The sequence below is a fragment of the Homo sapiens genome, chromosome 2 (genome assembly GCF_000001405.40).
Source record: "Homo sapiens chromosome 2, GRCh38.p14 Primary Assembly".
Lineage (NCBI taxonomy): Eukaryota > Metazoa > Chordata > Mammalia > Primates > Hominidae > Homo > Homo sapiens.
Window position 1 is genome coordinate 34,305,977 of NC_000002.12, and position 19,824 is coordinate 34,325,800.

The 19,824-nt window shown below is 36.9% G+C and overlaps 1 long non-coding RNA gene across 1 annotated transcript in view; it reads right to left on the minus strand.

Annotated features, from left to right (window-relative positions):
• Positions 1-311: 311 nt before the first annotated feature.
• Positions 312-19,824, minus strand: part of LOC105374457 (uncharacterized) — a 37,371-nt gene continuing 17,858 nt past the window's right edge. Inside the window, exon 5 of the long non-coding RNA XR_939952.1 lies at positions 312-372. This is a non-coding gene — a long non-coding RNA (uncharacterized LOC105374457). The remainder of the gene's footprint in view (positions 373-19,824) is intronic.

Consider the following 19,824-nt stretch of genomic DNA (forward strand, 5'->3'; position numbering starts at 1 on the left):
TCAGAGCTGTCATGGCATATGGTGGCGGATGAAATCAAAAGGCTCAGAGAAGCATGCATGATATCATCTACATAAGACTGGGAGACCTAGCAGCTCACTGTATACCTGAGAAGGGCCCCAGGGGACGCCCCATTTACTAAAGCAACACATAACACCGGTGAGAGGTGCTGATGTCAATAAAAAGCTGGGTCGTGCCTATCTATGTAGGCCAGGGTTGATGGTACTAGATGCTGGCCATTTAATTTAATAACAGAGGCCATTTAGCAACTCTAAAATACCTAAAACATGGTGGACATACTTACCATTATGGTCAGGAAGGCTGGAGTAGCAGCCACAAGGATATGTAGATATGGATAATAAAGCATAGTGGATCTAGAGAAAAAAAATGGATTGGGTAGTCAATGAGGATATTGCTTAATTCTTATAATCAAAAGTGTTCAAACTTGGGTCAACAGAAGGACAGAAGGCTAGGTCAGCGCCCTGTGAAAGTCACTATGCCTTGACTAGTTTTTGAAAACTGACCTTAGATCCAGAAACTATTAACTGAAGGACTGGCCAAGACCCATGAAGAAGGACCACAGAATAACAAGGCAAGCATATACAGTAAAGATTCACCTTATCCTTCCCTAAAAGACCTACCACTATTTACTTTGAAAACCATACATAGAGAAAAAAGGACTAATTGGCCAGTTCAAGGGTTATTGGATAGAGTCTAAGTTGACTCTGATACTGAGGGACCCAGAGCACCCTCATCGAGGCTCCCCTGATAAAGCAGGCATAGATGAGTCAGCTAGTATACTTATTGCCCATGCTTGTCTTACTGTAAGACCACTGAGGATGTGGATCCATCCAACAATTCCCTGGTTGCCCAATATATAAGAAATATACTTGGCATTGGTAAAACCCACACTCTAGTTTCATGACTTCTAGAGTAAGAACTGTTAGAGTCCAGAGTCCAGAGTCCATGGATCAGGTCAAAACTAGACTACCTGAGATTACATGCTTGCTCTTGTTTGCCTCATTCCTTTGAAAGCTGTTTCAATTGTACTTCCACCTGAAGTCATGGGGACTTTAATCCTTGACTCCACTTCTGCCTCTAGAAAATCCAACCTTCAACCTTATATGTGTTATCATATTGGCCTGTGCCTTAGACTGTTTGTAGTAAATTTGGAGAATTATTTAAGCACTTTGTTGTTTTAAAATGTGAGTGATATATTTATAAATCCTATGTCTTATGAAAAAATTACATTTTTCTTTCAGAAGTTGATACCACGTTTTCTTGGACACACTAAAAATATTCCAAGTAGATATTGTTGAAATAAAATCACTTTCTGGAAGCTATGTTATAGAAGCCTAAAAGTGACTTTGATATTGAAAGTAATCTATATTTCTGTAGTTCCTGCCTGGTTTCTCTGGAAAAATATGTGGAAGATAGCAACTTTCCCAGCAGATACTGCCAACATAAGGACCTTTCACTATCATTTCAAGTACTAAATCAAAGCTTCTTGATTGTGATAGGCTCCTTCTAAAGGCTCAGTATTTGGAGTTCTTCCTCCATACTTTGGTGGGCAAAACTGCAGCTGTGGTTAAGCCTTGATCTGTTTCTCTGGTATGTTATTCCTGACCAATTTTTCTAATTTATAAGTTCATATTTATTTAAGTTTAAGGAATTTATAAATATGGACATCTTTTAAGCTATCACTGTCATACCTTCTCACCTGACAGCAAATGGGCTGAAATAATGTTTAGGGTTGCTAAGAATGTACAAAAGAGAATAGGAATGGAGAAAATTAAATTCTCATTACTCAATATTTCATTTGTGGGCAACTCCAGGACTCATGCCAAGTTTGTTGAATTACAAATGGCTAATGATTCTTTCTGCCGACCCCTCCCCCGGCCATCTAGAGTCATTTAACAATGTAAAAGTGAAAATTGTAACTACCCTCATTAACAACTAGAGGGGTGTGTGTGTGTGTGTGTGTGTGAGCGAGAGAGAGAGAGGGTGTAAGAGTGAAAGATGGGGAAAAGGAGGAGAAGGAAAGAGAAAGAAGATCGGAGGAAAGAAAATATTTAAATGAAAAAAGTCCCGTAAGGAAACAAGCAGACCATGGTAACCACAGTTAATGCCTTTGGAAAAGGAAATAAATACCTCCCTTCTGTGAAAGCTGTAAAGAATTGGAAAATGCTGCTCCCTAAAACAGTGAGCAGGAAAAGTTTAAAAATGACAGCTTTGGTGGAGCAAAATGGTGTTTTTTTGGGGGACACGCAAGGTAAGTGAGGAGCAGATTAATGATTCCTGAGCAGTTGATGATAAGGGCACCCTGTAGGAGTAAATGTCTCAGCAGTGAGTGACTCAGGCTTCATCTTTCAAAGCAGTAGAAAATTTCAAGCCACACTTCTATCTCAGTTTCCTCTATATCACCTTTGGATTTAGTGAAATTAGTCATACGCACAAACAACTTTCTAGTGAGAAGGGGAGATTGACAGAGATAGGCAGTTGTCTCTCAATACCCTTGTAAGAATAAAATCATTTATTTTTAGCTGTCATATGACAAACTAGACCCATTTACTAGTACCCCTGCCCTTGTTAGGAGGTGTGGTTATGATACTAAGTTCTGTACAATAGGTTCTTAGCAGAAGTGAAGTGTAGAACTTCTAACTCATGTTCTAAACAGGAGGGGCCTACCTTTCTCCCACCCTGCCTCCATCATGTTGCTTGGAATGCAAACATGGTGGCAAGACGTTCTGAAACATTGGACAACAATGACATCCCAGGAAAGGCAAAGCAACAGGAGCCTTAATTGACCACATGTATTTTTTCATGTGTTTTTGGCTGCATAAATGTCTTCTTTTGAGAAGTGTCTGTTCATGTCCTTTGCCCACTTTTTGATGTGGTTGTTTGTTTTTTTCTTGTAAATTTGTTTGAGTTCATTGTAGATTCTGGATATTAGCCCTTTGTCAGATGAGTAGGTTGCGAAAATTTTCTCCCATTTTGTAGGTTGCCTGTTCACTCTGATGGTAGTTTCTTTTGCTGTGCAGAAGCTCTTTAGTTTAATTAGATCCCATTTGTCAATTTTGCCTTTTGTTGCCATTGCTTTTGGTGTTTTAGAGAGGAAGTCCTTGCCCATGCCTATGTCCTGAATGGTAATGCCTAGGTTTTCTTCTAGGGTTTTTATGGTTTTAGGTCTAACATTTAAGTCTTTAATCCATCTTGAATTAATTTTTGTATAAGGTGTAAGGAAGGGATCCAGTTTCAGCTTTCTACATATGGCTAGCCAGTTTTCCCAGCACCATTTATTAAATAGGGAATCCTTTCCCCATTGCTTTTTTTTTCTCAGGTTTGTCAAAGATCAGATAGTTGTAGATATGCGGCATTATTTCTGGGGGCTCTGTTCTGTTCCATTGATCTATATCTCTGTTTTGGTACCAGTACTATCACTGGCCATCAGAGAAATGCAAATCAAAACCACAATGAGATACCATCTCACACCAGTTAGAATGGCAATCATTAAAGAGTCAGGAAACAACAGGTGCTGGAGAGGATGTGGAGAAATAGGAACACTTTTACACTGTTGGTGGGACTATAAACTAGTTCAACCATTGTGGAAGTCAGTGTGGCGATTCCTCAGGGATCTAGAACTAGAAATACCATTTGACCCAGCCATCCCATTACTGGGTATATACCCAAAGGACTATAAATCATGCTGCTATAAAGACACATGCACACATATGTTTATTGCGGCACTATTCACAATAGTAAAGACTTGGAACCAATCCAAATGTCCAACAATGATAGACTGGATTAAGAAAATGTGACACATATACACCATGGAATACTATGCAGCCATAAAAAATGATGAGTTCATGTCCTTTGTAGGGACATGGATGAGATTGGAAATCATCATTCTCAGTAAACTGTCATAAGGACAAAAAACCAAACACTGCATGTTCTCACTCATAGGTGGGAATTGAACAATGAGAACACATGGACACAAGAAGGGGAACATCACACTCTGGGGACTGTTGTGGAGTGGGGGGAGGGGAGAGGGATAGCCTAATGCTAAATGACGAGTTAATGGGTGCAGCACACCAGCATGGCACATGTATACATATGTAACTAACCTGCACATTGTGCACATGTACCCTAAAACTTAAAGTATAATAATTAAAAAAAAAATTGACCACATGTAGTACAGCCTTAATAATATACTATTATATGATGGTATAAAATTCTTCTGTCTTATTTAAATCACTGCTGTTTTGAGTTTTTGTTTTATGCAGCTGCAAAAATATCTTTGCTATAATATATAAACTTTGAAGTTTGATACATTTTCTGCAGTTTCCTAAGTTTATGTATTTTCTATCATAATTAAATATTTTCCACCCATGTTCTTAAATTAAAAGTAAAAGCAAGGTAAATGGATAAGACCTATCCCATAGAAAATATTTTTCTGAGGAACGCTCAAAGTGAAATATGAATTACTAATTGAGGACCTTGGTAAAAAGGTAAAGCTGACAACAGTAAAAAAATAATTGAGCTGTAGAATTGGGCCATGTTTGTTTGGCTCCTAACATTAACCATTTTTTTTTTTTTGAGATGGAATTTCTCTCTTGTTGCCCAGGCTGGAGTTCAATGGCGCAATCTCGGCTCACTGCAACCTCCGCCTCCCAGGTTTGGGTGATTCTCCTACGTCAGCCTCCCTAGTAGCTGGGATTACAGGCGTCCGCCACCACACCCAGATAATTTTTTTGTATTTTGTAGTAGAGACAGGGTTTCACTATGTTTGTCAGGCTAGTCTTGAACTCCTGACCCAGGCGATCCACCTGCCTCGGCCTCCCAAAGTGCTGGGATTACAGATATGAGCCACCATGCCCAGCTATATTAACCTTGATATTACAAATCTTGGGTTATAAAAAGGCTCAGAAAATGATAGTATCATGTGGTATTAGTATGTTGATTAGCATTAAGTTGGCCCCAGGCAAATTAACAACTACAGAATATTTAAAAATATATAATTTAGGTCCATTTTTATATTGACCTTTCTGGTATATCTACTGAGGACATACCTGAACAAAAATGTATACAGAATAATAATTATGTATATTTTACAATTGCTGAATTAGAGCCATATGCTTTTTGTATACTCATTAGTACATTCCACAGTCTCCTTCTCACGATGACACTTAATGTTAAATAATTCTCTAAATGAAGGAAGAAAGGGGTTAGACACTGAGGCACCACTTTAGAGTTTTCTTCCCCTAAAGCACTTGTATTTAAATGCCCAAAAAATTTTGGTTGGGATTTTTTTCCCAAGGAACATTTTGACCCCAAAAAGGTGTTTATTGAACATCTCATCCCTGACCTGCCTTACTACTGTTACTATTACCACTAATTACCATAAGACATAGGGGTTGGTAGGTCAAGATAGGAAAGGAGAAGATGGAGGAAAGGAAAGAGGTAATGAAAGGAGAATAGAAAAAGAAAGAGGGAAGAAGCAATAAAAGAGAAAGAACAGTAGGAATCGTACTGTTCGTGGGAAAAAATGAAGTTACAAATTCAGCTTCAACAGAAATAGGTTCACTTATACAAAAGCCTTTGCAGATAACTGAACTACACTGGGACCAGAGTTGTGTACTTCATGTCACTAAGTGACTAAAATGTAAGATATGCTATAAAAATACAAGCTAATAGCAACACAGGATGAGGTCTGACTCTCTGAGCTAAACATTTGTTTTTTTAGCTCATAATCTGTGCTAGAAATGTAGACAAATTTCCTCTGGTCATTTCTGATATATTTTCTTAGAACTCCTTGATAAACATGATTAAAAGAAAAATATGAACAATATCCACAATGTTACTGTATTTGAATTTGCTCATTTTTTTATGAAAGAGGGTTGTCTTTGATAGATTTTACATTAATTTCATGGAGATAGCCTTGATCTCTTTAGTATATAATGAAAGGTCTTGATTCATTGAAGAAAAAAAATACCTGTGGAGTATATTTAGAGATAATGCTAACTGCATTTGGTTGTCATGGAAACTGAAATGTTAAAATAATAATGAAATGATTGGAAAAAAACTTGCATGCAGTTGTTATGGTAACTACCCATTTTGATAAATATTTTTCTTTTTTCTCTAAATTAACCATCTGAGATACTAGCATCTCAAAATTACTGCTATTATACATTTCACGTAAAATGTTTTTCATACTAAGGACATGTTAGCTTAGAAATATCTCACACATATGTGAAGTGACACAACATGAGTGTGTGTGCATTGTGTGTGTGTGTATATATGTGTGTGTATATATGTGTGTGTTTAAGTGTGAGTTTAGTCACAAAACGAGGCATTTCTAGATTGTAAATAGTAACTGAAGTGACTTTTCCAAGTAAGGGGTATTGGAAGCTTCCTCAGTTGGTAGAAGGTAGATAGGTAGTGATTCAGGGAGGTTACTAGCAAAGAAGAATTAGGTTGCTCTGCTGACTGGTGATAAAGAAGAAGGAACGGAAGAGAATTAATTTTTTAAAATGCAGTGTTAGGAACCAGGATTTTACATTTATTTTCTAATTTAGACGAATAATAACCCTTGGAAGTGAGTAGTGTTCTCATTTCACAAGTAAGGAAATGGAATCTTAGAAATGCTAAATAATTTACCCAAGGTCATAGTCAAGTAAGTGTGAAGCCAGGATTTGAATTCACGTATTTCTGTCTTAAAATCCATTCTACTGCTTTGAAAAATGGCTGAATCTATGACTGGCAGAAGAAATATACAAGATGATCCTGGAGCATCTTGCAGTGGCAGAAAGCAGGAGCGATCCCCTAACAAAAAGCCCCACATTGTTAAAGGCCTGTCAAAGGGATACAAGGGACATAGGAAGTAATTGAGCTTCCCAAAGCCTGAACAATTTTAGCACTAAAAGAAATAAAGTAATACTGGCTTATCACTCTAAGCGGGAGATAAATATCTTTGAGACTATATTTGTACAAATAAATGATTGCGTAAATAAATACTTGTGGGAGAATAGACAAATTTCCCCCACAGAAAAATTCCAGGTGAGCTGTACAGACACTCCCCGCTCAAGGAAGTGGAGCATAATTCCCCACTCCTTAAGAGGGGGCTGGGGCCAGGTGTGGTGGCTCACACCTGTAATCCCAGCACTTTGGGAGGCAGAGGCGGGTGGATCACGAGGTCAAAAGATCGAGACCATCCTGGCCAACATGGTGAAACTCCATCTCTACTAAAAGTACAAAAAAATTAGCTGGGCGTGTTGGTGCTTGCCTGTAGTCCCAGGTACTCTGGAGGCTGAGGCAGGAGAGTCGTTTGAACCCAGGAGGTGGAGGTGTGCAGTGAGCCGAAATCGCGCCACTGCACTGCAGCCTGGCGACAGAATGAGACTCCGTCCCAAAAAAAAAAAAAAAAAAAAAAAAAAAAAAAGAGGGGGCTGTACACAATGATGACTTCCTTGCAAAGATTACAGTATGGATTGGGGGAAAAGAGTCATTTGACAGTGGAGAAACTTGATAAATACTGCTACAGCCAAGTAAACAAGGTTAATATCAACAGTGGTAAGTCATGTAGCTGGTATATACCCTTGATATAATGTGATTAGAATTACACTTTACTCCTGTGATCTTCTTCCCCAGAACCTCAAGTCATAGTCTAATTATGAGAAAAACATCAGATTAAGGGTCACTCTACAAAGTATATGACTGAAGAAAGACATTAGATAAAAACTCCTAGGAAAAGAAATCTCCATGAAGCATGGACTTGAGTTAATAATAGTGTGCGGAAATTGGTTCATTAATTGTGACTGATTAGCAACTTCTAACATAAGATATTAATAATAGGAGAAACTGGGATATGTGGAACTCCGTACTATATTTTTAATCTTTTCTGAAAACTTAAAACGATTATAAATGAGAAGTTTATAAAAAAAAGAAACATTCTACATTCATTATATCACAATACAGGCATATCATTTCATTTTATAACTGCTTTTCCTCTTGACATTTGTTTTATTAGGATTTTACCTGGAAAATTATAGTTACATAGTGGAAAATGTGATTTATGGTTGGTCTCCAACCAAACTTTTTATCTCCCAGGGATTTTTGTATCCAGAGCTTTTTTGAAAAATAATTAATAGAGTGAAACGTGTATAAACTGTAAAATGTTTCTTATACCCTTTCTAACTTTTTGACTCCCTTTTCTGTCTGCCAGTGGATGAAATTTCTTTGCCTTTGTATATGTATGTACCAGTGTTGATCTGGATAAATTAGAGACTTATTACTAATCTTTTCTAAAATTAATGCAAATATTATGTATCATGACATCCCTCTATTGCAAAAGTCACTTGTCTCTCCTGAAAAATCTCTCCTGATTTTTCCTTTTTTTTTTTTTTTTTTTTTTTTGAGACAGAGTTTCACTTTTGTTGCCCATACTGGAGTGCAGTGGCATCATCTTGGCTCACTGCAACCTCTGCCTCCTGGGTTCAAGCGATTCTCCTGCTTCAGCCTCCCGAATAGCTGGGATTATAAGCGCCTGCCAACACGCCTGGCTAATTCTTTGTATTTTTAGTAGAAATGGGGTTTCGCCATGTTGAGCAGAGCTGGTCTCAAATTCCTGACCTCAGGTGATCTGATGATTTTTCCTTTTAAAAATCAAAGTGTGTGCAGGCTTAGAATTACCACATTTATTTAGTAACATTGAATATGCAATTTTAACACTTCTATTTTAATCAGGAAAGCTGAACATGAAAAAAACCTACAGGTGTAAAGGTGGTGTCAGGGTTTCTGCAAACCTATTCCTTGTATTTTTTCTTCTTGAAAACTGGCATCAATGCCAATAACCCAGAGATCAGTTAAAATGAAAAAATAGTTAGCCATGTGCCTCTGGTGTTCAAGAGGAGCCAGGTGTTAAAGGGTCGAGTTTCACAGGTGTTTGCTGTAAGATCCTTAGGCTGAAGGCTCATAGAACTGTCACTTATGTTTATTTTATATTTGTATGTTTTAGGATATCTCAAGGATGCTTATGGTTTTTTTCTGTCTCTCACATACGATCTCCTTCATTACTGTGTTCTATGGGACACTGACACCATAGATTATGGTTGTTGAGACCAGAGTTAGGAGTAATAGACATAACTTTTAGACCTATTTCTATCACCTATTAAGTGGCTGTCAGTTTCCTTATCTAACAAACAGGGGCAATAATACCTGACCTGACTTTGGCAAGTTGGTTGATAAATCAAGTAAAATAACTGATGTGATAGCAGCGCTTTTAACTATAAAAACCCATATACATTAGAGAATTATTCCTATTTCTATTGATGAAGAACAACTACACAGAAATGAGCGAAACTAGTTGCAGGTATTGAAGCTCAGAAGATGATAACCTAAAATATGATGCTTTGATATGATGAACTAAAGAATCACCCTCAAGGTGTCTCTGATCTTTCCCCTCCCTCCTGTTTCTCAATCCTCTGTTTCGACCAAAGCACAGGATGAGGCTGTTCCCTAAAGTTCTCTTATCTACCTAGAAACCAGACCTGCCAAAGAGGAACACAATTGCCTTTGATCCCCTCCCTGAAATGCGATTAATCTTTCCAGATTAATAGCATTTAATATCACAGAGGAAAAGACTGAAAATTAAACACCATACTTAGCGCCCAGAGAAACTTTAACCTAAACCACGGTCTATTATCTGGTCCCATTCAATTTCCAAAGAGAATTATTTACTAACAACTGTCTGAACATTGGCCCAATTTATTCTCCTAAGAATCACTTACTGCCATTTGAAATTTTAAATTGCAATTTTAAATTCTGTGAAGAAAAGAGTGTAAAGGATCTGGACCCCTTTGGTCATTCTTGTGATTCTCTTGTGCTTATACACATTAAATAACTCTGTATGTCTTTTTCTCCTATTCATCTACCTATTGTAAGTTCATTTTCAGTGAACCTTTAGAAGGTGAAAGGGAAGCTTTCTCTTGGACTTTACATTTGGAATATAGTATGCCTCTCTAGAAATGAAGAAAAGCTATGTGTAACTATCTGTAAAACTAGTAGTTCACCTTCCACATGATAATAAAGCGTGAGGGCATACTTGACCTGAACTTTAAAAAATGCTTTGTCTACATGAGGATCATAATGAAGAATGTTTGAGGGCTAGTATTCCAGTTGTGTAAACAGAGTCTAGCTATATGTGAGACTGCAGATAGGCAAAATCCTACTTAGTTCCTATTATTTGAAATGTAAAACAGGGGAGCAGTCAAAACAAAACCACAAGAACACACCAATGTACACTGGGAATTGCATAATATTATGGACATTAATATTTTATTTTACAGAGATGGCCTTATGTAAATTCAACTCTTCCTCTCCCTTTCTAGAAAATGCTTGATTTCTCTTTTTCTTGACAAAATTCTGGAATAATTACACTGTTATTTCTATTTCTCTTGTAGTTCAAATTCTACTCTAAGAAACTTCCAGTCAATATTGTCTATGGGTAGAAGAATTAGAAACAGAAACAATAAAGTAGTGGGAAGGTTTGTAGATATTTCTGAGGTTCTGAAGCCAGAGAATGTGCTTGGGATTTAAGTAGTGGGCGGGTAAGAAGGAATAAATTATTATGAGAGATTGAGTTAAAAAAAAAGAACAAAAAAGGTCAAGTGCTATACTTGGGGAACTGTCTATAAGTTGGAATGTGAAAATGATCTAGTAAAATTAGAGATGGGGTCTGAGGGATAGGGAGAATGTAAAGATAGAGTAAGGAAGATTACACAGCTAGAACAACTTTATTTTCCTGAATATCTTTTTCAATTGCTTTTGAATATAGGCTTATACAGATTTTAAAAATGCTTGTAAATCAGTGAACTAGAAAAGTTTCTACCTTTCAATTCTGATTCAAGCATCATTTCCTCTGAGAACTAGAAAATTAAAAATAAAAACATGCATTAGCCACATCACTACCTTATGAAATCTAATTTAAATATCTCTTCTTTCATTTGATTGAGTCATCGGTCTGTTTATAGCCTTGTTTCAAAGTGTATTGTATTTGAAATTCCTTACTGATGAATTGGAAACTGCAATTAAAAGGATATTGGGAAAACATTATTTTGAGAGTGGAAAAACAGATTCTCACTAAAATAATGTTGGATGGATAATAATTTTATCAGCAACTACCAGCAACTACTCTCTGCATTTCCAACTATAGAGGAACTTTGGTAGTTTTTACGTCTCATTACATCTCATCAATATTAACAAATATAACAACACAAGCTATTGTGGCACTTCTGCTTTTAATTTTTCTTTGATAAAACAGGTCTTGGCTAGTGAAACACGGGCTAATGTTGACCCGGTAGTGTTTTCCAATTTGATGAATCTTCATCTAACCTCTTTAATTCTTGCACATTTTATCATAGACACCAGTGTAAGTGAAGACCTATAATTCTGTCTGCATTGTCTGGACACTATGTGCAATTTCTGTTTCTTTCTGGAACCAGTAAGATGAAGAGTGAGAAATAGGAAATCTTACCAAGCTATAAATTGGCATGAAAATGGTAATAACTATTAGGATGCAAATATTTTTTGATTCATATGTCTCTGTTTCTTACTGAAATAAGAAATAGGAGCAGTTATAATTGTTATATTGAGTAGTTTTCTTTATCCAAAGACTTCTGATTCGATTTCACTGGTATTATTTTCAATTTATTACATTTACTCATTGCCTAGAATAGACTAATTCACATGGAAAAGAATCATTTTAGAAAATAGCTTAGTAAATAATAATATATAAGCCAAATTGTGTTTGTAAATTCAAGGCATATTTGACATCAAGTGGGAGACATTCGCAGGCTGACCTTAAACCTATCTCTAGAGTAGCTCTACTCAAAAGTGGTACTCTACTCTGTCTTTTACAAAATGATGCAATTAGATATTATAGTATCTTAGTTGTCATAGGTACTATGGTTCATGTACAGATCTTTTCACACAAGTACAGATAGAAAAGCCAAAGTGGCTCTGGCCAGCTTCCAAGAACATTTCAGTGCTCTTCAAAGACACTTGGAAATGGACTTCAGGAATGCAAATGTTAAGTTATCTGCGACTAGAACTCAGCAAGATAAATACACCCTTTAAGCAGCAACTAATCGAATTGACTTCCTTTTCCTTTCTGCTTCATGAGAGGCCTGTTCTCCAAGGCTGCATGGCTCCCAGGTGCCTTTGTCTCTGTTTTGTGGTCAACTCTAAATACCTACATTTGCTCTACAGTGACATTAAATGGGTCTTTAGGTGTGCGGTGTGTCCATCTAGACAATTTATCATCCTGATATGGAAGACCCTACAAGATCAGAGTGGTTTTTTTAAAATTTTTCTTTCTGTATTTCCAGAACCTGGAACAGTGCCTGATACAAGAAGACATTAGCTAATGAGTTGAGATTTAATCATTAGATGGACTATAGCTTATTGATCTATAGGTGTATATTAGTGTATTTGTTACAGATAAATTACTCTATCTTGTGAAGTTAAATTTTTTCTCTAAAATCCATATTTTCCCTTTTCCATCCTGTTCTTCCATGGAGTCTTTCAGTCTGCCAAACGAGGGTCCAAACGTCTAGTGCCCTACAGAAGCCTCCAATCCCCTTTGAATTCTTCCCACTACATTCTTCCAGCCTTCCATCTCTCCTGCAACCTATCACTGGCTTAGACTGTTATCTCTCACGATGGAACATCTATGAAGGTTCACATAGATTCACAGAGTTTTTGTTACCTGTATCTGCTCCTTTCCTCCAATTCCTCAGTGGCACAGCAGAGGTCACGTGGCAAACTTCCTTTTTCAAGACTAGTAGGGTATGTGAAATAGGAGGGTTAACCCGCCCTTCTTTTTTTTTTTTTTTTTTTTCGAGATGGGGTCTCGCTCTGTCTCCCAGCCTGGAGTGCAGTGGTGCGATCTCAGCTCACTGCAAGCTCCACCTTCTGGGTTCATGCCATTCTCTTGCCTCAGCCTCCTGAGTAGCTGGGACTACAGGCGCCTGCCACCATGCCTGGCTAATTTTTTATATTTTTAGTAGAGATGGGGTTTCACCGTGTTAGCCAGGATGGTGTCGAACTCCTGACCTCGTGATCCACCCGCCTCGGCCTCCCAAAATGCTGGGATTACAGGTGTGAGCCACCGCACCCGGCCAACCCACCCTTCTTATCTGTCTCCAGAACACAGAGAACAGTTCTCTTTTTAGGAAAATGTTATTTCTTGAACTCCATGTGCCATGTGTGTGAGAGGAAGGGTGGGAGTGACCTTGGCAGCTTGAGATACAACTCAGTATAAAGTAAAACCAAGAGCCATATTACTTTAAAATTTAATGCTGAAGATTTGTAGATCATCAGAAAAATTATTAATTAATCCTGTTCACCCTTTTGATTTCTTTTTGGTCATAACTACTCTGTGATAATATTTACTATTTTCATTTCTCATGGAAAATGGAGAAACTAGCATCTCTCTTATAATGTGCATATTTCTCCATGTTTTCAAAGCTCCTTCAAAGTTCTGTGTATTTCAATAACAACATTGATTTTTAAAAACTAAAGGTACATCTGCTAGGTCTTCTCTTCTTTGTAATTAGTAAACACAACTAATTATAAAAAGGAGAAGACCTAGTGTAATAATTTGTGTTTAAAACACAAATATATATAGGTTTAAAACACTGGACAGAATGAAGGGGCTCAGCATAAAGTGAAACCATATTATATAAGCATATATATATGTGTTTAAAACACTAGACTGTGTGTGTGTGTGTGTGTGTATGTATATATATACTTTATATACTTCCCACTGAACTCTTCATATGTTGCCATGATTACAATTAGACAGGGAGAAAAAAGTGCTGGCACAGCACACTCAAGCTTTACTCAATAATAAGGCATAATTCTAATAACCACCAAATATGTATAAAATAGGTTGAGCTACTTCACAAAGATTGAGAAAATAATAGATTTTACTTTAAAAGGAATTGTCATTTGAATGGAAACCCTAATACCCGACTTCAAACTAAAAGTAACATTAAAATGAAGTCTATAGACCTGAAAAAGAGGCCAGGATCATATTCATGCTGATTAGTGAAACACAAAACGTGACTCTTTTGAATCACAAAATGAGATTCTGAAGCATTTGTTCAAATGTGGCAAATAAATATGTCATCCTTTACTTATATAAAATTGTGATATTCTCTCCCTTGGAATATTTAAGGAATGCATGCAGACATTTTTTTTTCACATCACTCTAGAATCAAACTAACTCGAGTGGCATGTAGTCAAAGAATGTGAAAGAAAATGATTAACAGGAGTAGAAGATTTGTATAAATTAGCTGCTGTCAAAGACAAAATTTAATGATTAGAACTTCCCATTTTAGAAAAACAAAAGTTAGAATGTATAATTATGTGAGGGTTAAAAAGGCTCTTAAAATTTAAAAAAATTTATAAAGGTTAATCAGATTTTTGATGATGGTCTGATTTAGAATCACTTTATTGAAGTTGAAAAGAAGTTTATTTATGCCCCATCCTAAATAATTTATGAGCTGGGGCACCATGAATTTTTTTTCTTTTTTCTTTTTTTTTTTTTTTTGAGACGGAGTCTCACCCTGTCGCCAGGCTGGAGTGCAGTGGCGCAATCTCGGCTCACTGCAACCTCCACCTCCCGGGTTCAAGTGATTCTCCTGTCTCGGCCTCCCAAGTAGTTGGGACTACAGGCACCCGCCACCACACCTGGCTAATTTTTTTTGTATTTTTAGTAGAGATGGGGTTTTACCATGTTGGCCAGGATGGTCTTGATCTCTTGACCTCGTGATCCACCTGCTTTGGCCTCCCAAAGTGCCGGGATTACAGGTGTGAGCCACCGCGCCCGGCTAGAACTTCCCATTTTAGAAAAACGAAAGTTAGAATGTATAATTATGTGAGGGTAAAAAGGCTCTTAAAATTAAAAAAAAAATGTATAAAGGTTAATCAGATTTTTGATGATGGTCTGATATTTAGAATCACTTTCTTGAAGTTGAAAAGAAGTTTATTTATGCCCCAATCCTAAATAATTTATGAGCTGGGGCACCATGAATTTTAAAATAGACTTTAAAATAAAATAATGGGTTTAGATAAGTTACTGGAAAATGCAATACCTAATAAAATTTATTATGAGATGCCTACTATTTCGGATATGACCCTAACATTTTACTATTGATTCAAGGAATATATTCATCTTCTATTGAGAAAGCAGACATGTTGATGCTTCGGTCAGAGAAAAAGCTACTGAGTTGGATGGACCATGGATCTGCCCTAGTTGGGTGTTTATCTTTTTAATGGAACTTATACTTTATGAAATATCTATAGTGGTGAAGCTAAATGTGCTGAGATACGGAAAATGTAAAAAGCATGATTTCCTGTAGCTTTACCAGTGCTCATCTATCTCCCTGTTTACAGCAGGCTCCAGATTGATCTTTGGATGGAAATGGATTAGGGATAAATATGTGTTAATTTAGCATAGCTTTCTGGATTCACACCATCGTAAACTTTAGAAGAAAAATGAGAGGACTTCCTTTCCTTTTCAAAAAGTACAATCCATATTGGGCAGAACCAAAACACATGCCTGAAGAGTATGCATTTAAGGAGTCATTTCTGTGACTGACTTTGTTGTACAACTAAACACAGATGTGAAAAGATTTTCAGTAACATCACATGTGCAAGTTTTCTGGAAGTCTTGAGTAATCTTTTAGAAGTACATGAAATTAAAAATTTTTTAAAACTGATTTGTTTTAATCTCATATGCATGTATATAATTATTTAAATACAGACCCTCACATCAAAACTGAATTCATGTGTCCATATTTATTGAGTACCTTGTTGCAGCAGGCAATGTTCCATACCCTTCTAGATAGGCTAGCTTCGTGCATCATTATTAAAACCTACTGAGAATGAATTTAAGAATGTCAGAGTGATCCACGCCCAGCAGTGAGGTGAAATGAGCTCTTTCCTGCTCACCTCACAGTATCTAAGGTCCTGCTGAAAAAGAAGGACAATCCATGGGGTCGTTGTGAAGGTTAATGATGTGTGCGCGTCCTTTTTTTCCTCAACATATCTGAGGTGCTAACCAGAGTTAGTCTGCAATAGCAGTTTCATGAAGTTGTCAATGTTTGTAAGAATATAGAATGCATGGAGGATCCAAATTAGTGTAAATAATTCATTTACTGTTAGAGAATCAAGTAGATAGATATGGTTGTATATATTTTTTTCGCATGCCATCCATTTACAAACTGGGATTGACAAGAATCTATTAGAAAATATGACTGCACTGTGTTCTCACTCGTAAGTGGGAGTTGAACAATGAGAACACATGGACACAGGGAGGGGAATATCACACACCAGGGCCTGTCGAGGGGCAGTGGGGTAGGGGAGGGATAGCATTAGGAGAAATACCTAATGTAGATGACAGGTTGATGAGTGCAGCAAATCACCATGGGGCGTGTATACCTATGTAACAAACCTGCATGTTCTGCACATGTACCCCAGAACTTAAAGTATTTAAAAAAAGAAAATATGACTGCACTAACAATGTTTCCTTTTCCCAATGTGTCCTTTTCCCAAGTGTTTCACTATATTGGATACTTGAGTTCAATATAAAATTTATAGTTATTCTCAAAGACATACTTGACTTGAGTGGTACAATTACATTTAAACTAGATTCAGTTATTTACATCTTTAAGGGACACTATTCACTATTGCTTTTTTTTTTTTTTTTTTTTTTCACTGAAAGCTCAGCAGACCTATAAAGAGCTTGGCTTTAAAATTCTCAGGCCACAAATGGCAGGTTGATTTATATTTGGTAGTTTAACTTTTCATTATAAACTCAATATTCTTATTGGTTGCATTGTCTCATCAGCACTAACAAAGGGTGGGACCTGATTAACCTACAGAGGACTGATGGCTTGAAGAAATGTCTCCTGTCTTGTTGACAACAGGCTAGTTTCTTGACTATTGAAACTAAGCTCTCATCAGATGTCCAATACCTCATTCATACTCAATACTGTCTAGACTATGGGCTCTTTGATGATAGGGATAGTATTATATTTATTCCTTGACTCTAATAGCACAGCTTGTTATAGAAATTGATATATATTAAGAATCTACAAAATCAAATTCCAGGCTTTAATTTCAACTTGGACAAGAAACCTGTAAAGGGGAAGTTACCTTTGTATGTCTTGTATGTAGCATCAGGTTAATCATAATGCTAGTTGCCTTCAATTTCTGCTGCTGGTTTCTATCCATATTGCACTAGTTACTGACCCCTGAAACCCAATCAAACCTAGGCCTTCAGTGTTTGGGTCATTCCTCCATTGACCTATTCATCTGAGTTATCAGTGAGATCTTTACCTCACTGAGCCTTTGGATTTAAAATTCTATCTCCATTCATTCCCCAAGGAAATACTTGACTCATGTAGTACAATTAAAATCAAAATGAATTTACTAATTTGTTCCTTGAAAGACATCATTCCTTTCTTCACTTAACAAGAGGATTTTTGCTAATTCCTCTTACGTCATCCTTTGCCCACGTTCATCAAAGAACTTTAAAGCAGAAAAGGGGTTAAAAATTCTTGCCTCTACGACTTTCCCTTTCCTGATTTTTGAGACAAGAGAGGTTTTAAGGTGTAGAGAGTTAAGCAACTTGTATAATATTACCAATGGAGTTAGAAGCCTAGCCGAGGATCAACATTCTGGAATCTTCTCTCCACATCATAGGTTTCCTCTGTTTCTTCAGAAACGTTCATTTGTGCCTCAGGCCTTGCTACTATTTCTATTACTCAGCTACCAAAACCCACCTGATTGTCTTTACTTCCACTCAGAAGCGTTTACCATGTTACTAGATTTCTCTGAGTAACTTCCTGGGGATAAGGATTAGTGTTAAGCTTCAGGGAAGGTACCCTAAATTTTACCAGTTGCAAAAACTTCTCGGGTGTCTATGTCTGACAGTTTTAATACCATATCAGAACCTGCTTTAGGGGTTCCTGGGCCCTGGACCCACTTTGGATTTTAGGAGGTAGATTTTGTCCCTTTGACCCCAAAGTATGATGCATTCAGCTTATTGACCTCCCCTATTTCTTCCACATGAAACCATGGATCAGTATTTAGTCCACAGTTTGAACTTTCTTTCTTCCTGGGCCTTGGGAAATATCCTGGTGATATCGAATCCATGTCTACCTGAAATCGGCAGCAGGCTGCCCCTTTGTGAATGTCTTCAGTATTTGCCTAAAGTATCCTTCAGTGACAAACCTTTTTCCACTCTTTAATCCCTGACTTACTTCTGGCCTTGAGAATCACCTTCTGTTTATTGTAGATTGAGGGCAAACTGACAGCCCCAGGCACAGAAGATGAGGTACCCATCATCCAGTGCCAGCTCAATTTTTTCTCTTCTGCCTCTAATTTATTTTATTATTCTCCAGGCATCTGCATTATTAGCAATTTCTTTTTCTGCATCATTTTTTTCATATTTATGTTTCCTTTTCTCCTCTTCCTCCTCCTCAACCTCCTTCTCTTTTTTTTTCTTTCTCTCCCCCTTTTCTTCTCTATCTCTTTAGTCCTTCTCTCCAATCTATAAACATTCTCATCTCTGATCTTCAAACAAAAATAGAATCTTAACCTTACTTGGTCTTATAAAATGATTTACCATTAAGTCTCTTCCTCCAGAAAAATCATTTTTCCTCAGCCCTTCTTTACTTCCCAGCCTACTACACTCTGGCTTATTTTGAACTCACTATCTTTTTATTCCCTGTACTTCTCTGAATACATGTACTTGAAGTTCTCTTACAACCTCTCATTAAAGTGTTGCTGTCAACAGGAATTCCATTTTTCTCTATAATGACACAACTCTACTCTGGCTCGCTAATCCCATGCACACTAATAGCTTCAAATAACTACAAATATTCTGATTATTCCTAAATCAAGGGTCTTGCCCAAAACTCTATTTTGAGATTTAGACTCATACTCTACCATTTGCAGAACATCTCTCTCCACCTGTTGAGTTTTGTAGGTTAAGAATGACCATGTAATTCATTTCCTGACGTGACACTTTTGAGAGGAGAGAGGGTGTTATTAATAATTAAGCTAGAACAACAGGCATAAATCAGCACAGTTCATGCAAATCACCGTGAATGATCATCCTATACAGGTATCTCAAAGGCAGCATGTCACACAGAAGTAAACTAATCAACTTTGTTTCAAACCTCATCTTCCTCCTACATTCTCTAAAGTAATTACTAATACCACCATCGTCTATTCACCCAAGCAAAAAATCTGAAAACATCTTTGATCCCTCCTACTTTTTTACTCTCATACCTTCATCTCAATCCTCCGATTTAGCCTAATGCATATTGCTTGGATGTATCTGTTTCTATTTCTGCTCTCATTATTCAAGTACAGGCTCTCATCTTTATAGCTTGTCCATAATTGCTCTCTCTCCAGTCTTGATCCACCAAAATTCATTCTTGACCCACCAAAATTCATTCTTGACAAGCTGTCAGAATGCAACCACACCACATTACACTGTGGAAAACCCTTCAGTATTTTTCTTCACCTGGAGCAGAAGTTCCCATCCTTTTTAAATTAAAAGTGTTCCACAAACAAATCTTCACAGGGTAAAGTTTGAGCTATTAGTGTTTAATACAACTTATCATTTTGCATGATGCTATAAATGGTACTATACATTTATTTAGGCTTATAGATAAATTTGCAATTAAATAATCGATACAGCTTGCAAACTGTTGAAAAATAAAAATGTATATAAAATTTTATTTTTCAAT